At 41.1% G+C, this 26,220-nt stretch overlaps 1 long non-coding RNA gene across 1 annotated transcript in view; it reads right to left on the bottom strand.

The window, feature by feature from the left end:
- Positions 1–3,466: 3,466 nt before the first annotated feature.
- The window catches only part of LOC105378515 (uncharacterized), a 164,918-nt gene continuing 142,164 nt past the window's right edge, over positions 3,467–26,220 (bottom strand). Inside the window, exon 8 of the long non-coding RNA XR_001747606.1 lies at positions 3,467–4,483. This is a non-coding gene — a long non-coding RNA (uncharacterized LOC105378515). The remainder of the gene's footprint in view (positions 4,484–26,220) is intronic.

The raw sequence follows: 26,220 nt of genomic DNA, 5'->3' as shown, positions 1-26,220 counted from the left end.
AAGGACTCACTTCTAACAAATAGGAGGAGGAAGAAATAATGGGGTATGGCTTTTGAGACTCCATCATAAAAGATATAGTGACTTCCTCCTTGCTTCTCTCTCTAGGATCACTTGTTCTGGAGGAAGCCCTCTGCCATGTTGTGATTACTCAAGCAACCCTAGGGCGAGGTCTGTTTCCTGAGGAACTGAGGCCTCCTGCCCACAGCCATGTGAGTGCACCACCTTGGAAGCAGATTGTTCGGCCCCAGTCAAGCCTTCAGCTGGTTACAGCCTAGGACTCATGAGAGACCCTGAGCCAGAACCACCCACCTAAGCTGCTCAAGAATTCCTGACCTACAGAAACTAGGAACTAATGTTCGATTTTTTAAGGCAACAAGTTTTGGGATGGTTTGTAATGCAGTAATAGATATCTAATGGACATCCCTAGTAGAATTGTCTGCTTGGCTCCCAGGGATACACAAATTTCAGTCTTACTTTACAGCCTTCTCTTCTTCCCAAAACAGAAATGATTCCTCAATTGGGGTATATTCAGGGTAACTTAATCCACCTTTCTTTTTACTCTTAGGCCCTGTTACTGGTCCATTGGGTAGCAAACCACTTCCTTTCTTACCTTGATTATTTGTCTTTTTTTGTTGTTTGTTTGTTTGTTTTTGAGACAGAGTCTCGCTCTGTTGCTCAGGCTGGAGTTCAGTGGCACCATCTCGGCTCCCTGCAACCTCCGCCTTCTGGATTCAAGCGATTCTCATGCCTCACCCTCCTGAGTAGCTGGGACTGCAGGTGTCTGCCACCAAACTCTGCTAATTTTTATATTTTTAGTAGAGACGAGGTCTCACCATGTTTTCCAGGCTGATTATTTTTCTTTTAGTCACCCTGACATTTGTTCCTGTATCTAATTTCTGAAGCTCTTTGCTACTCTGTTATTCTGCATTCTAACAGGGATTTACGGGAAGAAATTCCACCTCATCCTACAGCAGTGACTCCAGTAGTGAACTTTCTGCCATGAATCAGGGTGAGGTAAAAGTTAGGAAGACTTTTGATTCTACAGTGAGATTGTTAGTAAATTTCAAATCCCATCTCAGAAGAAAGGTGGGGATACCTGTGGCGACATCAGCATTTTCTGGAAATTTAAAGCAAATACATCGTCTTTCCTGCAGGCAACTCCATTTCTCTGACTTAGCTGTGCTTCTGTGTTCTGCCTGGAGTAGAGGTGGCCAAAGACTCTGGGCCTATGTCACTAGAAAGTGCCCCTAGAAACTTCTAGGTGGATGTGTGCTCAGCAAGGTCATCCTCAGCAATAGGGAGAGGAAGCCAGCCCATCTGATGCTTACACACTGCACAGAAACCTGTAAACTCCGAGAACCATGTCTGGAGTGCCCAAGCTGAAACTTGGAACCTAAGTCAGTGTCTCCCAAAGGATAATGAGAGAACCACCTGGAGATGCTTGATAAAAATACAGCTTCCTCCACCCATCAATGCTCTACTGACAATCTTCAAGGTTAAACCTCTGCAAAGTTATGAAGACTCTGGGCAATTCTGATGTATCCTAACTTTTAAGAATTACAGGTACTTTTTAATTGAAGTCTGATTTACATGCAATAAAGTGTACAGATCTTCAGTCTTCTATTCAATAATTTTTGACGATATAATCATCAAAAACGATTTTGACGATATAATCATCAAAAACGATTTTGACGATAAATCAAAAACCGACCTGTGGAATCACCACCCAAGACAAGATATAGAACATTTCCATCACCCCAGAAAATTATCTCTTGCCTTTTTCAACTCCCAGCCCCAGAAGCCATGACTTCAGAGTTTTTACCATTATAGAGAAGTTTGCTCAGAACTGTTGCTTTTTGAAACATCAAAGCTAACAATGTAAAAAGAAGTCAGTTATTTGAGAACTCTAAGTAAGCCATTTCAGTTTGACAGGAGGAAACGATTTCAGTAGTCCATTTGAGGAGACTGTTCCATTTTTCTGGGAAAACCAGCCAAATGGGCTCTTTAGCGATACAAACACAGAGCCTTCTGAATTGGTGATGTGATTGGAGATGATTCTGAGGAGCTGGCACTGCCTTGAATGGGAGAATGTTAAAGCTTTCTGTGTCACAGGCAGGGCTGCAGATCTTAAGTGTTGTAAAAAGAAACATGTGTCAAGGCCAGCAGAGGAGGTGCCATGGCATTTGTCCCCACAGAGCCCTTTGGACAGGGTGCAGCCCAGGGTGATGGGGCGAGAGGCCAAAAGTAAATGGGATTGTTTCCATGAGAGACCTTGAACCCAGCACCCCAGAAAGGGTGACTTTTATGAATGGTGCTTTTCCCCCATCATGCTTTCTAACTAAGGTATGCACATACACATAGGGAAGTCTTTGATATTTCTATCTTCATTTTCTGCCTGGCCATCTCATTGAATGAATTGTCTTATTAGTTCCATTCCAATTAATTCACTGGGATTTTCTAGATACATATCTTCTGAAAATAAGGACATTTTTATTTTTTTCTTTTCAATTATTATAGGATTTTGTATTGCTTTGTTTTCAGTTTTCTGCCTTATCATTTTTGCCATTATGTAGTTAAAGTTCTCTAGAATGAAGATATTGGTGTTGAATTTTTGACCAGCCTAAAAAGGATAGAGTTGGGTCTAGAACAGCTATAAGTCGGTGTAAACAGCAAAGAGGCCACGTCAGTAGCTTAGATGTGCTGTAATAATGGCTGGTGGTCATTTTAAATCAACCCAAAGATCCCTTATAACTTATTATTTATTTTAAAAGAGGAGAAAAGAAGGAAATTCAGCATGTGTCTCAGTTCATGACAGATTTTTGACTAAAGATTCAAGGCACATTAGCAAATAGCTTTATTTTCTACTGTATATCCAGTGTGATCCTTAATCTACCAGCAAGCAAAACATGTTTAATGGTTCATACTTGATTTTGATTATTCTAATTTGCAAAGCAACCTTTCTTTCCCTTTGGGATATCACATGCATGGAAAGAGAGCGAATTGCTTAATTTAACCACCTCAAGTCAGTTCATGGCACACAAGCATCAGGAGTTCACAAACAGCCCCATTTTCATGTTTACCATTTTGAAATGTTATGTACTGCCCTCCCCTTCACTCAGTCCCTAATCCCATTATCATTCCACTGTATGTGCACACGCCAACGAATTTAACATGTAGCTGCCCTGTACGGCTTTATTTACATAGAGAGGCATCCCTAACAATACTTTATTCACGTGGGTTAGTTTTTCTTCACAAATAGGACTGTACTATTTGACTTTTGATTTTTTTTCATTCAGTATTACATACTTGAGATTTACCAGTGTTAGGATATATAGAGTATTGAAGTTAATAAGAACACCTGGTGACCTACCACCTGTCAGATTGCCAGTATCAGATAATCCCCAAGGTGTCCCACCTGTCCCCAACATCCTTCCCCATAATAGGTAACCAGTATCACAAACTCTTATTGTCTTACCTTTCCTTACTTTATTTATTCTTTGCCTTTATCATATATGTCATATACTCATAAATAACATATCATTTAGTTGTGCATGCTTTTAAACTTTACATAAATGGAATTATACATATTCTTCTACAACACAATGCATGTGAGATTCATTCCAGTAGATGCTTGTAGCTGTTGTGTATTCATTTTCATAACTATGAACCATTATTTGTCCATTCCCCATCCTCAGACATTTGGGTTATTTCCACGTTTTTGTTATATAAACAAAGCTGGCATGAATGTTCTTAAGCATATGTGCGGGAGCATCCTGATGTCACAAAGGGGAATTGCTGAGTCTCAAGCACACACATCTTCAACTTCACTAGAGGATGCCAAATTATTGTCCAAAGAGCTTGGAGCAATTTGCACTCCCACCAGCAGAGGGCAGGTTTTCCAGTAGCTTCAACCTTCTCCAAGACTTGGTATCATCAGACTTAAACTTGTGCCAGTGTTGTACCTGCAAAATGTGGCTTTAATTCGAACTTCCTTGACAACCAATGAACTTGCCCATGTTTTTGTACGTGTATTGAACATTTGGCAAAGTGACTATTCAAGGCTTTTGTCTTTTTTTTTCTGTTGAGGCTTTTTGTCCTTTGCTTAATTAGTGAATAAATGATTTTTTAACTGCTGTGTGACATTCTATTTTAGGCATTTACCACATTTATCAATTCTTATCATTGGCCATTTGGTTTATTTCCAGCCCTTTGTTATTACAAACAGTGCTGTGATAAATATCCTTGTACAAGTCTCTGTGCATATAAGAAATTTTCTTTGAAGTGAAACTGCTGGGTCTTAGAGGATGTGCATATTCAGTTTCCCCTGAAGGCTGACAAATTGCTCTCCAAAATAGCAGCACCAATTTACTATCCTAGAAATTGATGAAGTTTTCCATTCATTCTCCCACACATTTGCCAGCACTTGATAGCATCCACAAAGCAATGTTAGATATACACTGTCTCATTTAGTCTGTAAATAACCCTGGAAGGGAGAAAATTAAAAAGAATCAACATTTTTTTCTAGCACTCTACAATTTGCAAAGCACTTACATTTGCATGCTCTACTTCATTTTGTGCTCAAATCCTGCCACTCACTCTCTTGCAAGTTACATTCAATCAAAACCCAATGCTCATTACCCTTGATCACTATACATTGTGTATATGAAAACATCACTATGTACCCCATAAATATGCACACTTATGCGTCAATTTGAAATGTTAACAAAAAAATGAAACAAAATAGCCAGGGGTGGTAGTATGCACTTGTAGTGCCAGCTACTGCAGAGGCTGAGGCAGGAGGATTGCTTGAGCTGAGGAGTTCAAGTCCTGCCTGGGCAACAAAGAACTGGATGAGGCCAGAGATTATTCTCTGCTGTTAGGGTCCTCAAGAGGGAGGACCTGGCTCTGTCATCCCCTCCCAGGAGATTCTGCCTCCTCCCAAACCTCAGAAAGTAGGGAATTCCTCAAACATAGAAAAGAGTTTAGCCAAAGATGATGATAAGTTGTCTAGCACATAGGTTGTAAATAGCAGGTCACTTAAGGTAAAGTGCTTCTGTCTTTTCCCTTAGATACAACTTTTCCCCTTCTTATTTTCCTCAGCCAATGTCTGGTGCGGGGTTTGGGATAAAGCTTGAGCCACAATATTATAATCACTCAACCATTCCTATCAACGGAGACTCCCTTCCTAAACTGCTTATTTTCCCAGAGCTTTGTGACAGTGTTCCTTATGTTGGCAATGTGTCATCTTAATGATCTCATTCTAACAGTAATGAGTTATGACTTGATTCCCCGGCAAGGCAGATGGCATCACTTTTCAATCCCAAGTGAATCAGTGGTGTTGTAATGAATACCAACTTCATCAATAACATTAGAAAATAAAAAATGGTATTCTCTAGTCACTGTCATCTCTTCCCATAATCTTTACATTTTCATCATTTTGACTCACATTTTCTAGATTTCACTTCCTTTTCACTTATACGATGTCCATGCATGTCTGCCTCAATTATAACTTCCAGATTCCTACATTACTAACAATTGTTGAGGCCTATGTTGGGCCTTACTCACATAACAAACCTATCATTTATAACTGAGGCTATCTGGGCTCAGAAACATAAAGCAATTTGGTCAAGGTCACATGGATGGAGCCAGTATTTTAACCCTGGGCTTCGAACTTAAAATTCAGTGCTTTTTCTTTTCTTTTCTTTTCTTTTCTTTTTTTTTTCTTCCGAGACAGAGTCTCACTCTGTCACTAGGCTTGAGTGCAGTAGTATGATCTCTGCTCACTGCAACCTCCGCCTCATGGGTTCAAGCAATTCTTCTGCCTCAGCCTCCCGAGTAGCTGGGATTACAGGTGCACACCACCACATCCAGCTATTTTTTGTATTTTTAGTAGAGACAGGATTTCACTGTGTTGGCCAGGCTGGTCTCGAACTCCTGACCTCGTGATTCACCTGCCTTGGCCTCCCGAAGTGCTGGGACTACAGGCATGAGCCACCATGCCCGGCCATCTAGTGCTTTTTCTACTATGCTACACCATGTCTTTGCTGTAGCATTTTGCTATTGTTGTTTTTTAAATTTCAGATACAGAATTTTTGATTCTTTATTCAACCTTCTTTATAAGCTCATTGAAACTAGGAGAGTATTACTTCAAATATTTGAATTCCCACAAGTGAAAGATCAAGCCAGTATTTCATGGGTCATCTTATTACAGTTCTCTGAGATGCAGAATGGAAGCTGTCAAACTTGGCCAGCTTTCATTCTCTGAAAGACATCATGGTTAAGGGTGGAGAGATCTCCACCAACCAGCTACCTCCAATGACATTTTCATTACCTTTCCTTGTGAGATAGAATCAATATCAATAAATCTGAGTCTCTGAATTTCTAGCTACACAGCTTTATAGATTTACACTTTTGAACATCTTAGGAATCTGTTAGGAATGGGTGAGAATACCCCCACAGTTTCAGATTTCAAATTTCAATCTTCTGAGAGGAATTTGGTTTTCAGAGCACTACTGCAAACCAAAATAATTGTGAGTCAGATTTTGCCATGCCTACAAAACTTCAGACTATTTTATAAGAACATGATATATTATTTACAAGAATAAACAGTCTGGGAACAGGCATACCTCGATGGCATAAAATTATTATAATAAGTGTGTTATAATAAGTGTTAAATTAACTCTTCCAGGCCCCAGTGACTTTATAATTGCCGTTCCCTCTACCTGAAAAGCCGCCCAATTCTTCTCCTTCCTCACCCTCCATCTGGAAAACTCCCAGCCCAGAAGTAGTCTCCTCATGGTTGAAACCTTTCAGACATTTACACTACCCCCTTAGGATAGTCACTTTCTGCTTTCTGCTCTGTGCACTGATACATTCATTCATTCAGGCATTTATTCACGCAGGCATTCATTCACCAAGCAAATATTCACTGAGGGCCTTCCCTATACCAGGTAACACTCTAGGTCCTAGATATATTCATAAACTGACAGGTAAAAATCCCTGCCATGTGGAGGTTACATTTCAACTGGAGAGAACAGCCAACAAACAACACATAAGTGAAATATACTACAGGTATACCTCAGAGATATTTTGGGTTCAGTTCAGACTACTGCAATAAAGCAAATGTTGCTATAAAGTAAGTCATAATTTTTTTGGTTTCCCAATGCATATACAAATTATGTTTATACCAGCCGGATGCGGTGGCTCATGCCTGTAATCCCAGCACTCTGGGAGGCCGAGGCGGGCGAATCACGAGGTCAGGAGATCGAGACCATCCTGGCTAACACGGTGAAACCCCATCTCTACTAAAAATACAAAAAATTAGCCAGGTGTGGTGGTGGGCACCTGTAGCCCCAGCTACTTGGGAGGCTGAGGCAGGTGAATGGTGTGAACCTGGGAAGTGGAACTTGCAGTGAGCTGAGATCATGCCACTGCACTCCAGCCTGGGCGACAGAGTGAGACTCCATCTCAAAATAAAAAAAAAGAAAGAAAGAAATTATGTTTATATCATACTGTAGTCTATTAAGTACGCAATAGAATTATGTCTAAAAAAATGCACACACCTTAATTAAAATACTTTATTACCAAAAGGTGCTAACAATGATCTGATCCTTCAGCAAGTTATAATCTTTTTGCTGGTGGAGGGTCTTGCCTAAATGTTGATGGCTGCTGACTGATCAGGATAGTGGTTGCTTAAGTTTGGGGTGGCTGTGGCAATTTCTTAAAATAAGACAACAATGAAGTCTACCACATTGGTTAAATCTTCCTTTTATGAAAGATATTTCTGTAACATGTGATACTGTTTGATCACATTTGACCCACAGTATAACTTTTTTCAAAATTAGAAGTCAATCCTTTCAAAACCTGCTGCTTTGGCAATTAAGTTGGTGGATTATTCTAAATCCCTTTGTTGTAATTTCAAAAATGTTCACAGTATCTTCACCAGGAGTAGATTCCATCTCAAGAAACTACTTTTCCTTCCTCGACCATAAAAAGCAACTCCTCATTCATTCAAGTTTTATTATGAGATTGCGGCAATTCAGTCGCATATTTAGGCTCCACATCTAATTCTAGTTCTCTTGCTATTTCCACTACATCTACAATGACTTCATCCACTGAGGCCTTGGACCCCTCCAAGTCATCCATGAGGGTTGGAATCAACTTCTTCCAAACTCTTGGTAATGTTGATATTTTGACCTCCTCCCATGAATCACAAATGTTGTTCATGGTATCTAGAATAGTGATCCCTTCCAAAAGGTTTTCAACTGACCTTCCAGATCCATCAGGGGAATCACTATCTATGGCATCTATAGCCTTAAAAATGTATTTTGCAAATAATAAGACTTGAAAGTCAAAATGAATCTTTGATCCATGGGCTGCATAGTGGATGCTGTAATTGCAGGCATGAAAACAACATTTATCTCCTTGTCTATGTCCATCAGAGCTCTTGCGTGACTGGGTACATTGTCAATGAGCAGTAATTTTTTAAAGGAATCTTTTTTCTGAGCAAAAGGTCTCAACAGTAGGCTTAAGATTTTCAGTAAATCCTGCTGTAAACAGGTATGCTGTCATCCAGGCTTTCTTTTTCCATTTATAGAACATGGACAGAGTAGATTTAGCATCATTCATAAAGGCCCTAGGATTTTCAAAATGGAAAACGAGCATTGGCTTCAACTTAAACTCACCCGATGTATTAGCCTCTAATAAGAGAGCTAGCCTGTCCTTTTTCGCTTTGAAGCCAGGCATTGACTTCTGCTCTCTAGCTATGACAGTTCTAGATGGCATCTCCTTTCAACAGAAGGGTATTTTGTCTACCTCAAAAATCTGTTGGATGTAGCCACCTCCATCAGTAATCTTAGCTAAATCTTCTGGATAACTTGCTGCAGCTTCTACATCAGCACTTGCTTCCTCAACTTGCTCTCTTGTGTTATAGAGAAAGCTTCTTTCCCAAAACTTCATGAACCAGCCTCTGCTAGCTTCCAAGTTTTCTTCTGCAGCTTCTTTACCTCTGTTAGCTTTCATAGAATTGAAGAGAGTTAGGGCCTTGCTCTAGATTAGACTTTGGCTTAAAAGAATGTTGTGGCTGGTTTGATCTTCTCTCCAAACCACTCAAACTTTCTCCATATCAGCAATAAGGCTGTTTTGCTTTCTCATCATTTATGTGTTCGCTGGAGGAGCACTTTTTACATTTCCTTCAAGAATTTTTCCTTTGCATTTACAACATGGCTAACTGGTACAAGAGGCCTAGTTTGTGACCTACATCAGCTTTCAACATGCCTTCCTCGCTAAGCTTAATAATTTCTAGCTTTTGATTTAAAGTGAGAGAGGTGGGACTCTTCCTTTCACTTGAACACTCAGAGGACATTGTAGGGTTATTAATCGGCCTCATTTCAACACTGTTGTGTTTCAGGGAATAGGGAGAAGAAGAGAGGTGGAGGAACAGCTGGTCTATGGAACAGTTAGAACTCACACATCATGTATCAATTAAGTTTGTCATCTATGAACACGGTTTGTTTTCAACTGCAATAGTAACAAACATCACCAATGGCAGATCACTGTAACAAATCTAATAATTGAAAGAAATAATAATAATGAAGTTTGAAATATGGTCAGAATTACCAAAATGTGACACAGAGACACAAAGCAAACATATTATTGGAAAAAATGCCACCGATAGACTTGCTTAAGGCAGGGTTGCCACAAACATTCCATTTGTAAAAATTCCAATATCTGTGAAGCTCAAAAAGCAAAGTACAGTAAAATAATGTATGTCAGTCTACTGGACAATGAGAAACTCCATGGGAAAAAACAAAGCAGAAAAAAGATGTACACGAGTACAAGGGTGGGAAGGCAGCTTCCCATTTAAAATAGGGGGTCAGTTACCAAAGGCTGGGAAGAAAGGAGGAAAGGGAGAATGAGGGGGAAAAGGGAGAATATAAATGTATTTACTGCCACTGAACTGTACACTTAAAAATGGTACAGATGGTAAATTACATATATATATATATATATATATATATATATATATATATATATATATCCTACTTCAATAAAAAATAAGTTTAAAAAGTAAAATAGGTGGTCAGGTAGACCTCACAGAGTAGGTGACATCTGTACACAAAGTTGAAAGAGGGAGTTACCCATTTGTAGAGGACAAATATTCCTGGCTGAGGAACAGATACAGGTTGAGCCTCCCAAATCTGAAAACCCCAAATCTGAGGTGCCCCCAGATCCAAAGCTTTTTGAGTAACAACATGATGCTCAAAGGAAATTCTCATTAGGCTATTTTGGATTTGGGGTTTGGGATGCTCAACTGGTAAGTATAATGCAAATATTCCCCCCAAAAAATCCCAAATCCCAAACACCTCTGGTCCCAAGCATTTCAGATAGGCTTAAGACAGGAGACAGGTTTGGCTGGAGCAGAGTGGGTGAGCAGGACATGGCATTTGGAAGAGACTTCAGGGAGCAGGCATGTGGAGCCTGGTTGGACATTCTAAAGTGAATTGAGAGACAACAGTGGATTTTGAGCAGAGGTGGTCAGATTCACCACCTTGGTTAGAAGCCAACAGGACGGATTATGAAATATGAGAGAAAGAGAGGAGTAAAGGGTGACTCCACTAAGACAGCCCTTATGGCACTGGGTCATAAATGTCTGTGTGTCTTTCTCCCTTATTGGACTGAGTCCCAGTGAAGGCAGATGCTGTGTTCAAATGTTTAATGTCTAGGCCGGGGCAGAACACACAGGCAAGAAATGTGTTGGGTCTGATGGTCCAAATGAGCATCTCTGCCATAAGACTAACCAATGAATAGCAAAGCTGAGACGTGCCTTTAGAAACTGCTTGGGAAAGCAAGTCACAGGTAGGGACTACCTGTAGCCCAGCCCTGCTAGCCTCTCCTCACCCAGATGGGTGTTCACTCGACATGGCAAACACTGTGTTCCTTCATGCAATGGATGTCAGAAGTACTGGCTACTAATAACCTCTTTATTGAAGGATGTGGGGACAGATGGGGCTCCTTAGATCTGTTGATATACAGGGGGACAGATTTGTCTTTTTCAGAGTGTTATAACCAGGATTCTTTAGAGCCAAGGGATTTCCCAATGCCTAGTTTCAATCTAGCAGGCTGGCTGCTTAGGGCCTTATGAGAACTTGAGATGGCTTTAATCCTGGGTGGGGGCAGCACTAAGAAGCCCACTGGACTGTCAGGAGATGCCCCTTTCTAGCAGGTTCCATGCTCCTGAAAGCAGAGGTGTCAGAAGAATTATAGCTCCTTCCAGATACTGAGCATTTCCTCTGATCCTGCCTGCTCTGTCAGTTCTGCTCATGATCTCTTTACTGCCTATGAGGGCAAAGCAAATAAGCCACTGGGAATGGCATCAATACGAGTTTCTTTAAAGCCTATTTTTCAGAGACCAGACCTAGAGCCGGTAAAGCCTGGAGTGAATATGGGCACAGGCTCTAGATGACCATAAAGCACAGGACTGGGTTACCCAATAGCAAAGTAAATACATACCCAGGGCACCGACAAAGAAGGGAGAGAAAGAAGAAACTCAAAAACCCAGTGAGAGGCCACTTAATTTCAGCATGTATGTAAGTTTTGTGTCACTGCGAAAACAAATCGCTGTAATGGTTTAAGTCAGTCTCATGCTGAATTCCACGTGCTGGGTGGTGTGGTAAGCTTGTTGCTGTGAGAGGTCTCTAACCCAGCCCCATCCACAAACCTGGAGGCTTCTTAAAGCTGCATTATGGACATAAGAAACAAAACCCATTCATCTGATCTAAAAGTCAAGCTCTTCTATGTAATAAACTCTATAATGTTTCCAAAGACCAGGGAGTGTTTGGGGTTTATCAACCCCTAACTGGATTTGTGGTCAGTTACAAAAGCAGTTTTGCCGGACTCTCAGCAGCATCTCCATAGACCAGCTGCCATCACAGGTGCCAAGCTGTGTGTGACGCAAGCCTCCTCCCCCATAAGGCACCCACAGGGTCTGTCTACAGTGGACAGAACAACCACTGGCCCTGGAGGGGAAGGTATTTTCACCCTCATGTGAACAACAACCAAGTATTATTTCTATCTTTCCTGTGCTCCTTGGCACTTGTGATATAATGTCTATTTATGCTCTTTGAAATAGGGATGGAAAATATGTAGCATTGCGCCCTCTTCCTGCCCAACTCGTCCATGATAGATGTTTTCTTTGATCACAGTGTTTTTTTTCCACTGACCTAGATGAAGTCTCAGAATTTTCTCCACACAGCACTCCAGGCAGCCATGACCAACCAGCCAACCAAACACCAGTGGCGTATGATAAGAAGCCTGCCTTTCATCCTGATATATGCTGGATGGTCAGCTTTTTGAAGGGCAAGAAACACATCTTCTGCATTTTTGTATCAAAGGTAGTACCGGCTCCCATCTTGGACATAAACAGCAATCTAGGCTCATTTTCTATTCCAGAAACTTAACACAGAACCAAGTCAGTGTGGTCTACTACCGCCGGAAGCTTAGATTCACTCAACAAACACTTATGAAGCCATCTTTGATGAAACAATGGTGTGATTATAGCATTGATCACAAAGAAATTATGTGTGGGCCACTCCAAAAGGCCAAAGAGATGGCTCCAGAAATTAGATTAAATGCAAGCTGCTATTTTAAACAAATAGCAATTAATGTCACCAATTAATAGCAACGAATGTCACCAGTTCTTTGAAGAATGGCCTCCCAGAAGCACTACTGTCATCTTCTCGAACATCCTGGCATTCTGTGATAAAATGGCTTTGAGATGGCATACATCATTACTGAGACATTCTTTTCACATTTATTTTCCTCATTACCATTGTTAAGAAACTGAATGGAAAAGGCTTCTATGACTGAGATAATGACTTCTGAGTCCTTTACACCAGTGGTTAAAAGCTACCCAAACTGGCAATCCGATTTGTTTTCATTTCTTCTTTAACCAACCCAAAGAAGAGTCAGGTTGGAGTTTTTGAAAGTACCTTAAAACTTATGTGAGCCTCATTAATAACAGGGCTGAGCAGCATGTCTGGGTTGGCGTCTGTTACTCCCATCAGGGCAAAAGCTGTAGCTCTCCTAACACCCAATTACCCTGGCTAATGAGGCTCATTAATCATTCCTTGTAGCTTTGGAGAATCCCAGGGGAGGGTCTGTTGACCTTTGGAGCAGACAGCACAGTCGTGGTCATATTTTATGTGTCAAACCTCTAACAAAGTTAAGTGCAGTTAGTTAAGTGCAGTCACGTTTACTAACAGTATGCTAATGGTTTTATTGCCCCTTCCCATTTTTTAAGTCAGGCAATGGCTGCTTGGGACAAATAGCCTGAACTGTGCTTTGGATCCTTCTAGATAAGCTCAGGTGTTTATACTTCTTTAGCATGGATGTGAAGATCAAGTGAGTTAACATACATGAGAATGCTCTGCATGGCAAATGGTGCATAGCAAATTGTGATCAAACAGTGACCAAGAAGTGGTCCCTTCATGCAGAAGGTCCCATGATGTTCCAGCCACCACCTGGGCCGACTCCAGCTCACATTGGCTGCTCAGAGATACTGGGGATCCCAGTCTCTTCTTATCTGAATGAGACCTTCTGGGATTTCCATCAGCTAATCTCTGGCAAATCTGTGGCTTGGTCAGATTAAGGGAATAAGTTTAAGGATTAAATAAATATCCATACATCTGTGATGTTGGGCATATTATTTCACCTCTCCAAGTGTTGGTGTCCTCATCTATAAAATGAAGATAACTAAATACTGGCAGACTCACAACATGCTGGTGGGATGCATGTAGTGACTTCAGCAAGGTGTCTTGAATGAAATAAGATCTCCATAAATGGTGCCCCTTATTATGTTGAATATTGTTCCTAATCAACTTGGACACACTTAAAGACAAATGAAATCTGCTTGGCCCATTAATAAACACATTCTTTTTGTCCCCTTGAGATAAGGTAAGTTCTTTGCTTGAGTGGATGGAACTGAGTAGATGGGGACAAAGCGACTCATCTCTTTCTTCAGGTAGGGAGAGGATTAGCTGAGACACAGAGAGCAGCAACTCCTCATAGCATGTGTTTTGGGGATTTTGAGGGTTTTATTTTTTCTTTTTGCAGATGAGAATCTCTCCGGAACTTAAGAAACAGACAAACAACAAACAAACAAACAAACAAACAAACAAACAAACAAACACAAACTCATGCTGTCCCTGCACAAGAAACAGAAGAGAATTTCTTTCTTTTCTAAAACAAAAAAGGAGGGGATAAGTATTCTGATCAATATTACCCAGGCAATAAATGACCATGCCAGATTGTCTGAGATTCTCGTTCAGAATGTTCACTCCTCTACACCAGATGCTTCTCACTGTGAGGCTTTGAGGTAGTTCAGAGAAATCTCAAAAGAGGACAGTTTCAGGAAGTGCCAACAACTGCAAAGCTAAGGGCTCTTCAAAACGGGTGTCAAAGTTAGTAACAATGGCCAACCTTACTGAGCACTCACTGTGTGCCAAGTCCTTTACCATGGCTCATCTCACAAAATTTCAACAATTCACAAAGTTGATGGCAGCAATATCCTCACTTGATCTGTGATGAAACTGAGCCCGAGGAAGGTAAAGCATATTTAGACATGTAAGTTTTTTTTTAATCTTCTACAAACTATTCCAGAGAGTAGAAAAGAAGGAAGGCCTCATTTTATGAGACTTTTGAATCAAAACCAGGCAATAAAATAAACCGTAATTTAATCTCATTTATGAACACAGATGTAAAAATGTTAAATATTAATATAAAGAAATTGAATTTGGCTCACGCCTGTAATCTCAGCAGTTTGGGAAGCTGAGGAGGGTGGATCACTTGAGGTCAGGAGTTCAAGACCAGCCTGGCCAACATGGTGAAACCCCATCTCTACTAAAAATACAAAAAAAAGTTAGCTGGGCACAGTAGTGTGCACCTGTAATCCCAGCTACTTGGGAGGCTGAGGCAGGATAGTCGCTTGAATCTGGGAGGCAGAGGTTGCAGTAAGCAGAGATCACACCACTACACTCCAGCCTGGGCAACAAAGCTAGACTCTGTCAAAAAAAAAAATTGAGGGAAAGAAAGAAAAGAAAAGAAAAGAAGGAAGGAAGAGAGAGAGAGAGAAAGAAAGGAAGGAAAGGAAGAAAGAAAGAAACTGAATTTGGCTCTATCTCATACACACACACACACACACACACACTTAATTAAAATATTAGGGCCTTCAGGTTGCACTGAGATGGGTTAAAAAAAACATTAGGGCCAACTAGAATTTATCCTAGGAGTGCAAAAATGGGTCAACATTAGAATATCTTTAAATATAATCTACTACAATAACAGATGAAAGGAGAAAATGATAGTCTCATCTCAATTATACTGGGCTGCATGTTGGCCCCCCAAAAAATATACATCCTCATCTTAATCCCTGAAACTGTGAATGTTAACGTATTTGGAGAAAGTATCGTTGTGTATATAATTAAGGATCTTGAGATGAGGAAATCATCCTGGATTATCTAGATAGGCCTGAATTTCAGTGACAGGTGTCCTTATAAGAGGCACACATGGAAGACAGAGGAGAAGGTGTTGTGAAGACAGATTCCGTGACTCGAGGGACACAGCTACAGGCCAGGGAGCACAAAGCATTGCCTGCAGCCCCCAGAACCTAGAAGAGAAGCATGGAATGGGTTCTTGCTCAGAGCCTCCACAAGGAACCAGTCCTGCTGACACCTGGATTTTAGACCTTGGTCTCCAGGAATGTGAGAGAATAAATTTCTGTTATTTTAAGTTATCCAGTTTGTGGCAATTTGTTCCAGTGGCCGCAAGAGACTAATCCACCAATGAATAAAGAAAAACCATTCAAGAAAATTCAGCCTTCATTCATAGAAAATAACTCAGTAACCCAGGAATGGAAAAGAAATGCAATTTAGAGACGAGGAGAAGATATCTGCAATACATACATCCAACAAGGGATTTAATATTTAAAATGTGGAAAGAATTGCAAATCAAGAAAAAAAGTAGGAAAAACTTTCAAGGAAAAATGTGCATTATAAATGAACAGGCAAGTCAGAGAAGAGGAAACCCACTTGGTCACACTCATAATCAAGGAAATGCAAATTAAAATACAAATGAGGTTCTAGTTCACACTCATCAAGTTGACTAAAAGTTTATGATGAAAATATCAAGTTGTCAAACGTGCAGAAAAATGAACTCAGCAGGCCTGATTGCTCAAATCTTGTGCATCCTCAGCGGGGCCTGCTGTGTGACAGCCCTTGGCTGGCTCCTGGTAACTGAGCTATTTCCTATGCTACTAACAGGGCATTTTAAACACTTGGAGCCTTTAACCATGTAGTACCAGCTTGTCTAGACAATTTGTGCAAATTCTGTGGTTTGTGGCGGACATTTGCTTTCCTTCTGCAGGTCTGGAGTTTCAATAACTATAGCTAGTCACAAAGGCTGTAGGACCAGACTCCATTTAAAACTCTAGACCTTTAGGCTTAAACAAGCTTCTCTGGGCAGAAAACTCACAGCACGGCTGGGCACAGCGGCTCACTCCTGTAATCCCAGCACTTTGGGAGGCCGAGGCAGGCGAATCACAAGATCAAGAGATCGACACCATCCTGGCCAACGTGGTGAAACCTCGTCTCTACTAAAAATACAAAAATTACCCAGGCACAGTGTTGGGTGCCTGTAATCTCAGCTACTCGAGAGGCTGAGGCAGGAGAATCACTTGAACCCAGGAGGTGGAGGTTGCAGTGAGCCGAGATCACGCCACTGCACTCCATGAGCTACAAGAGCAAAACTCTGTCTCAAAAAAAAAAAGAAAGAAAGAAAGAAAGAAAGAAAGAAAGAAAGAAAGAAAGAAAAGAAAAGAAAAGAAAAGAAAAGAAAAGAAAAGAAAAGAAAACTCATAGCTCTTGTTGCAGTGAGTTGCTGGAGGAATAAGCATGTTCTGTACCACTCCATTGTGAAGGGATTCTGGAAACTGGTCTCCCAAGTCTTGGCCTGTCTTGCCTTTTTCCTTTATCGATTTTGCTTTGTATCTTTTTGTTGGAATAAATCCTAGCCATGGGTAATAACTCTTACAGAGTCTTGTGAGTCCTTCTAGGAAATTGCTGAACTGAGGAGTAATCTTGGGGACCACCAAAACAGTAAGAATGCAGAGAAACAAGACTGTCACACACAGCTGGTATGCCAGTCATTTCGGAGGGCAATGTGACAAGATTTGGGGAAGTTCAAGATGCACGTGCACTAAATCCCAACACTTCCTTTTCTACTTTTCTAATCTAGAAAAACTCTCCCTCAAGCCTATGCACAAAAATGCTTGCTACATCATTGTTTCTCACTGAGCGTAATTTTAAAATCTATGGATAGAATTATAGAAAAATAAGCTGTCACATGTTTGTCTAATAGAAAATGGCAAAGCATTTCAAATGACTAAGAGCAATGCTGACATGGTTAATCCTCAAAAATGGTATGTAAAAGAAGGAAGCTGCAAAATATGCACAGTAGGATACCATTTATGCAAAGTTTAAAAACATGTAGAACTCATTCTTTAAGACATAAGAGTACAACACACCAACTTTATGGTGGAAGCTACTCCACAGAAAGAAGGAGAGGAAGGGGCTGGGGAAAGGGGAGGCATGCAAGAGGGGGGTTTACACAGATCTGCAGTGTTTTCTCTCTTACCTCCCAAAAAAGAGCCATAGCAAATATGAAAAAAAGTTAACACTTATTAAAGCTAGAAGGTAAGTTCGTTATGTTATTTTGCATATTTGAAGCATTCCACAGTTTTTTTAAAAAACATAAAAATGAAGAGTCAAGTAATTGACTTAAGGCCACAAGTTAATATCAAACTGAGATTTGAGCTCCGGCTCCCAAGCCTGGCTACAAACTGCACCAAGTGTCCCCTCATTTCTGCAGCCTGTTCATTAAAACCCAGGCGTATTACCCTAATCACATTTATACTATGCTCAAGCAGGCTTCTGAATTACATTTCAGCAAAATGCTGATTTTACTTTAAAACTTTGGTTGCTATTTACAACAACTACATTCTGAGTTCTCACAAACTCTTCATATGACAGGTCCCACATTAATGACAAAGGTCGTATAGATAGACTTCAGGAGGCAGTTAAAAATTCTAGAGAAGGCAAAGCTACTAAATCTCAAGTTATTGGACAACTTGTTCATTCAAAATATTGAATAAAATAAAATTAAAATCAATAGGAATGTCTGAAGACATACAACTTGGTCAGCTGAACATAAATTACAAGTTCCTAATTGAATAATGTGTATGAGCTGATGGGTTCATCTCATCTTTTGAAAAACATTAATGGCTTTCAGTTTGTCATCATATGACTGAAACCAATACCTTTGGTATTAAAAGATGAAAAGCCTGAGAGTAAGGATAAAAATCAAACACTTAAGTTCTCAAAAAGAAGTAAGCAGGAGATGTGAGTCATACATGCTGTGCTGTCTTATAATTTTAACTAAAATCGTGGGAGCTGGCTAGTTTTAATTAATATTTTAGAGTTTTCCTTAATTAAAACTTGCCAGAAAATACAAAGAGTTGTTTTTACATTCTTGTTAACATACTTGCTATTCAATTTCACAAATGTTTCATCACAACTACTTCTAAGGGAGGCATTGTTCTAGGCTCTGTAGAAGTAAGAAATCCCTTTAGTATGATAACAATAATCAAAACCACTACTACTATCACTACTCTAATGGATGCCTTTCATGTGCCAGCAACTCTGCTAGAAGATTTGCATCATTTGGAGGAAAATGAAATATGTGTGTGTGGAAGCAGAGACTGAAGAACATAAGGAATTAAGAATCTTACTAAGACCAAAGAGCAGAAATGGAGAAATGTGTTCACAGAAGAGAATTGGAACATTTGAGATATTAAAAGCAGAGATGGTCTTAATGATTATAAGTTTGCTAGAGTATATGAATTGTCTTTTACTGCTGTGACAAACGTAGTGGCTTAAGCAACACAAATTTATCATCTTACAGGTCTGCAGATCAGAAGCCCAACACAGGTCCTACAGGGCTAAAATCAAGGAATGCAAGGCTGTGTTCCTTCTGGAGCCTCTTGGGGAGAATCTGTTTCTTTGCCTTTTCCAGCTCCTGGAGCCCCTCCACCTTCCTCATGGCCCCTTCTTCCATCCTCATAGTCAGCAACAGTGGGTCAAATCCTCCTCACATCCCATCACTCTGAACTTCTCTGCTGTCTCCCTCTGCCACTTCTAAAGATGCTTGTGATTATATTGGGTACACCCAGATAATCCAGGATGATTTCCCTATTTTAAAATCCACTAATTAGCAATCTTGATTCCATCTGCTACTTTAATTTCCATTTGTTATGTCATGTGATATGTTTATAGGTTTCAGGGATTAGGACATGGATATCTTGGGTGGAGGCATTATTTTTAATATTTTACAGAAGTTACTAGAAAATCCCAATCCAAACTAGCTGAAGCAAACAAGGCTTTTTATTGGAAAGATGTCATAATAACACAACACCTTAAAGGCAGCCCAGTCTCTGGAACAGAGTCAATCCAGAAATCCCTCTTTCCCATCATATGACTGAAACCAATACCTCTGGTATTAAAAGATGAAAAGTCTGAGAAGAATAAAAATCAAACACTTAAGTTCTCAAAAAGCAGTAAGCAGATTTGAGTCATACATGCTGTGCTGTCTTATAATTTTAACTAAAATTGGTGGGAGGTGGCTAGTTTTAATTAATATTTTAGAGTTTTCCTTAATTAAAACTTGCCAGAAAATACAAGAAGTTGTTTTTACCTTCTTGTTAACATACTTGCTATTCAATTTCACAAATGAGTCTCTCATGTCTACTTGGCTACACATCAGCAGGCGATAACTTCTACTGAAGACTGGCTTCTTTCACTCTCAGTCCACACATCAGAAGAATATGACCACCAGACATTCTTTGAATTTTACATCTTACATTCCAGGCACCAAGAAAAGAAGCTTGCTTTCCCTCCACTCTCTTCCAGTTCCAATATACCAAAGAAGACATTACTTGGCCCATCTTGAGCCAAGGTCCTACATCGTCTTGGATGGAGGTTCAAAAGGGGGCCACCTGGAGCCATGGAAACAGGGTAGGGGTGAGATAAACAGTTTCCCAAAGAAAAAGATGAAGGAGTGGTAATGAGTAAACAAACCAATAGAGATCTATGATAGTGACTACATGGAGTAGACATCTTCCTGGTGATTGAGGACCACAGATCAGAGGAAGATAGAGGAATACATGGATTTCAACATAATGGGGTGTGAGTGATCATCATGGCTTGCACAAAATGCTGTGGGGACTCAGGGTTTCCTTCCAGCAGCAGAGCTCAGTGAGGCTAAAATGCAAGGTGAGGCAAAGGAAGGAGCCTGAGATGAAGCTGGACAGAAAGAGTGAGAAAGAGATTGCGGCCAAGTCTTCCATAACAAGCTAAGGTGTTTCTTTTAAAACAAGTGCCTGGCAATAGATGTACCTTGTGTTGTGTTTTAGAAAGATCATCCCAGGGATTAAAGGGGGGGTTGACAGCTGCTAAGCAGGGCAAGACTCTGTCCAATGGCACAAGTTAAGAAGCTGCTACCAGAGTCAAAAGAGTAGCCCAGAATTAGGCCAAAGCATCTGGATGGAGATGGGAAAGGATTGAGGCACATTCAGAATGGAATTTCAGAAGACAGAGGAGAGCAGAGTTGGTTAAGGAGAAGGGGAAAATAAGCCTAAGTGGTCCCAGGTGGTGACTTCAGCAGGATTTGGAAGCCTGGCTCAAGAGCAAGGACATCCCGCTAATTGGGAAGGAATTAAATCTAAACTGATTTTTGTGACTTTCACTCCTTTCCATGAGTGTGTTTGTAAATGTTTAACTACTGGCTAGCGGGAGGGACCAGGGTTGGAGGAAACTTCATCTGTAGAATTTACCACTTTCTATGGTATGAACACTCCTACTGTGGCCAATTTCAAACTACTAATGCAAAGTCACTAAACCCAGACTTGGGAAGCCAGCCAGCAGAAGCCAGCTCCAGCACTAAACTTACAGATTAAGTGTATGCTAAACTTACAGATTAACAGCATCTCAAAGCAGAACAATTTTTCTTTGTACAGATCTAAACGGAGTTTCTTTTGTCTTCCTTTTTCTACATAGACACAGTAACAGTCTGATCTCTCTTCCTTTCCCCCAAAAAGACATCAAAAAATTTTTTGTCACAAAGTAACTCCCTTCCTGCTCAAGCCTCGTATAAAAGTTTCCTGACTATTTGCCTTTTGGAGCAAATCAAAAACAAAAAAACCACCAATAACAACAACAAAAAACATCAAGATTCTACCTGCTCTGTCTTGGCAGCTGTCCTTGAAACTGATTTTTCTTTTCCTGCAGTTTCCTCGATATGAGCTGGACTCTGGTTTTGTGGATACAGTGAGAGTTTGAGAAAGTGCCTTCAACGGAACACCCGGAAATTCCTAGTCCATCCTGGACACACAGCTGCTGAGGTAACCACCAAACCCCAGCTCTCTTCTGTTCTCCAGTGTATGATCCTGGCTACCAAAGAGCTCCTGGCTTTTCATTCTTCATGATGATGATCCTTTGCAATTGTCGTGTCCCAGTCCACGGAGGACCAGGTCTGTAGAGCCAGGCTTCTCTGGTGGACTTTATGGGGCCCGTTGCCTACGGACCTCTCCTGTCCAATCTCCTCCTGTCCTCCTCAGCACCTGAGCATCTGACCACCACACAAAGGTGACAAGAGGACACAGTAGGATTTGCAAATGCTTGGCTGAATATTGACAAGAGCAGCTAGTCAATGAGTGGATAGTGACTACAGCAGATACAATGGGAGGCAATGTAGCACTGTGGATAATAACAATGGACTCAGAAGCCAGACCACCTGGTTTCAATTCAGCTACTCCACTTACTGGCTCTGTGACTTTTGGCCCAGTTATTTAACTACCCTGTGCCTCTGATCATAATCTGCAATGGGAATTTCCCAAGATGTTAAGGCATTTGTGTCTGCCACAAGATGGAAGCTTCCTAAAACCGACCAGCGAGGCAGTCAATAACAAGGAGTGCCCAAACATCTCCGAAAAACAAAAGCAAACACCTCTCCAAACACCTAAATGGCAGCTGAAGTGTTTTCTCTACTTTCATAAAAAATAATCAAATGTCAGCCTTGTAAATATTTATGATTCCAAGCAGACAGTTCATATTTGAACATCAATTGTTTAAAGACGATTTGAGTGGTTTTTAACAGAAATCTTATATCCTACACATGCCCTGTACACAATACTTAGAAAACATGCCTTTATAATGTTTTCCAAGATAAGGTCAGAAAGGCAACTAAATGTGATTACGTGAGCCCATTCAGAGCATCATTTATTCTGGTCATTGCATTTGCAAAGGTTAAAAGCAAAGGAGTTTTATTGGCAGGAGGCCACTCTGACTCTTCTCATTTATAATTAAATATTATTTGAGTCGTACTGTTTCTGATCCTCAGATGAATTTCCTCATAGACCACAACAAGAAAATGAGAGAAAGAACAAAGAAGTCATCACAACTATGTTTGTTCCAATTGTTCCAGTCGGGCATGGGAGTGTGCTGCAGTTTAGAGTCTTCTGCTAGTAACTGTTTGTGACTTTAAACAAATCATGTGATTCTCAGTTTCCCCCATACTAGGAAAAATAAGTTAAATCTTCTATCAATAATAAGCATTATTAAGGTACCATTAATCAGTCATTTAAAAATGAAATATTTCTGAAATTCTAATGTGCCTTTTGGTTCCAAAACACAGTGGCTCTGTGAATTTAATAGCAAGGATCTAAGAATCACAGGAAAAACAGGGATAGTTTACTCAAGTACTCAAGAATAAGCCCCCAAAGCTCTCTGAAATCATGAGTTTCAAGTGTTTCATCCCACCAATGCTCTGCCCGGAGTATAACTGTCTGGATATTAATTAAATTTCAGGTTTTGCCCATTTTTTTCTACTCTGCTAGAAAAAGCAAGAGAAAAGGAAGACATAGGGAAAGGCCCTAAAGACAATTCAGTAAGCCTGTTTGAGAATCAGCCTGACTATAAATTGGTCGGAGCTCAAATAATTACTTACCAAGATTTCTTTGGTATGATTGGCCAATTAGAAGAGCAAGTTATTCACTTACAATCATGTTTAATCGATGTGGAATTATCAGAGGATGAAGGTTCTATGAAAGTGAATTTTCTAGAAAATTGATACACAAAAGCTTTTGTTTTTAAACATAGAGGATAGAAAATATTCTAAAATATAGTACCTGCTTCCCTGGATGCTTATACTGATAATAATGAGCTCAATTAACCTTTTTTGGATATTCAGGTTCGGCATCATTGAACATCTCTGATTGCACAAAATTTGCCAGTTAATAGCAGGACTCACAGGCACTGTTGTAACCCTTCCCACCAACTCACCCACTCCTTTGCTGGTGAAGCCCATCTGCCATTGTCCAGACTGATATGGCCAGGCACCAGCTTCCTCAGCCTGCCTTGCAGCTAGAGCCTGAATGCATGACTCAAACTTGACCAATGGAACATTCTGGGGAACTTGTGGAAAAGTTGAGGGTGAAGGGAGTTTGTTTTGTTTTGAGTCTAAATAAAAAGAGATGAGAAAGAGATAATTTCTCTTCTGGACATAGCTGTGTCTACCTGATCAGGAGCTATGATAATACCCCAAGGAAAGCAGACACCTGAGTCCTTGAAAGCATCTCTAAGCTGCTGAATTATTCCCAGATAGAACCCCCTTTCCCACCTGGCCTTTCCTGAATTTCTGGGTAAGTGAAAAAATGAGTGTCTTCCTGTGAAGTCATTATAGTCAAGAGATTCTTTTTCTTGCAGCTAAAAGTACTTAGCTTATAAACAAAGTCTCTGGGAAAACCCAAACTGGGTTCAGAGTCTGTGGAATAGTTGGCCTGGTGACCCTTCTGAGGGTGTAACTACATAAGTTGATATTCAAGAAGGCCTTTAAATGGGCTACAAAGGAGAAAAGAGCTTATTTGAGGGTGCATGCTCTAAGTTCCATGGTCACAAAGGAAATGGACAGAAGGGAGAGACAGATAATGATGTGGTTTGGTGTGCAGGTGACCAGGGTAGCATAAAGTGCTTCCTTGAAGAGCTTGGGCTCTGAGCTGTGGCTGAATTACAGCTCAGCAGCGTACATAACAGAGATTCCCTAAATTCCCTGTGCCTTCTCTTGAGGGCAGGATAATAATAGCACCCTCCTCAGAAGGTTGTTGGCAGGGTTGACATTCCTATTCAACTGGGTCTATGATATCATTGTAGGATGCATCCCAATTTTAGAGATGTTAAAATGTAGGAGGTAGGGGAGAGTGTCTGGATTGATGAAATGAGGTGCATTTATTTACATAAAGGACTCAGAATTGTGCCTGGCACATAAGCAAGGGCCATGAAATGTTTGCTGTGGTTACTGGAGCTAGAGGAAAGGCCTTTGGGGACCCAGCAGGGTGCAGACCCTCAAGGACAGGTGATTTGGGCAGCTTCGAGAGGGAGCACCCTGGCACAGGGCCTGAGATCTCACTGAGAGCACCACACACTTCATGAGAGAGGCTCCCATGGAAACCAAAAAGGCTTAGGGCCAGGTGGGGATGGATGGAGACCATGAGCCAGATGAGGACAAGAGCAAGGGATTGGAGTCCCTGCTCTTCATGTAGCTTCATTTGCGCTTACAGGTGGAGGAGACCTGGGATAGTCCCTTCACAAAAGCCAGGTTTGCATGAGCTATTGAAGGGCTCACTTTCTTTGCCCCTACACTAAATGTCCCCAGGTCACTCTACACATTTGAGCTCTGATGTTGCCATGTGTCACCAGTCTTGGATTCCTCCCTCAATGGCCAATCTGCTCACTGTCAACAGCACCTCTTCTTCTTCTAATTGCCTTATTTCAATATCTCACAGTCTAGATCAGATAGCCAAATATCATCACCTTATGGATAGTCACTTCATCCCTCCATCCAGTCACTCAACAGAGACTTTTGAGCACCCAGTAAGTGCTAGACACTGTGCAGGCACCGAGGACACCATGGGACCAGGAGAGACCAGTCCTGCTCTAATGGGACTGACATTTTGGTGGGCTGCAGAGATAGACACACCTCATTAAAATAAATGAACAACATAATTCAGGCAATTATAATGTCGTGCAGAAAGGCATCTGTGTGTGGGACAAGAGGAACAGCGTGGGGAACTGGGGGACAGGAAAAATGTTATAGATCAGGAGACCAGGGATGGCATCTGTCAGGATGACATTTGGGATGGGACCTGAACAAAAGAAGAAGCCCGTCCTGCAAGGTCATGCAGCACTTCATGGGCAGAGGCCATGGCAAATCCTGTAACTGGAGACAGGAGGAAACTCCAGGCATTTGAGGGAGGGGAAGGAGACCACTGTGGCTGGCTGCAATGGACACCAGGAGAGGCCACATAAGGACTTGGTGTTATTCTGAGATCACCCAGAGGCCACTGGAAGGGGATTTGTGGTGGTGGTTCCAGTTTGGTTTTCCCTAGAAAGAAACACTATGATTTGCATTTCCAATAGATGACACTGGCTGCGGGGTAGGGAGTGACCATAGGGGGCAGGAGAGGATGCAGTGAGGCCCATCTGGAGGCCTGGAGTCACCAAGAGGGAGAAGATGGTGGTCAGGATAGGGTGATCACACTGGAGCTAGTGAGAAGTGTGAGGATTCCAGATACATTTTGGAGGCATGAGATTTGTGGTGGGTTGTGTCATATACCCTAGAAATACACATCCAAGCACTAATCCATAGTACCTGTGGATAAGATCTTACTTAGAAATGGGGTCCTTGCAGGTGTAATCAAGTAAAGATGAGTTCATACTGCATTGGGGTGATACCTAAAGCCAATGACTGGTGTCCTTGCAAGCAGAGAGAGATGTGAAGACGCGGACACACACAGGGAAAAAGATCAGAGTGATGCATCTGCAAAACAAGGAATGCCATGGATTGCAGGCAGCCCCCACGAGCTGGAAGAGGAAAGGAGGAGTCCTCCCCTACAGCCCTCAGAGGAGCATGGCCTTGCTGACACCTTGACTTCAGGCCTCTAGTTTCTAGAACTTTGTGAGAATTCATTTCTATTGTTTTAAGCCACCCAGTTTGTGGTAATTTGTTCCAGCAGCACTAGGAAAGAATCCAAGGCTGTAAGAGAGGATAGCATGTAAA

The sequence above is a fragment of the Homo sapiens genome, chromosome 10 (assembly GCF_000001405.40).
Source record: "Homo sapiens chromosome 10, GRCh38.p14 Primary Assembly".
In the NCBI taxonomy this organism is placed as follows: domain Eukaryota; kingdom Metazoa; phylum Chordata; class Mammalia; order Primates; family Hominidae; genus Homo; species Homo sapiens.
The sequence above is the reverse complement of the archived record's forward strand: the minus strand, read 5'-3'. Positions and strand labels throughout refer to the sequence as shown.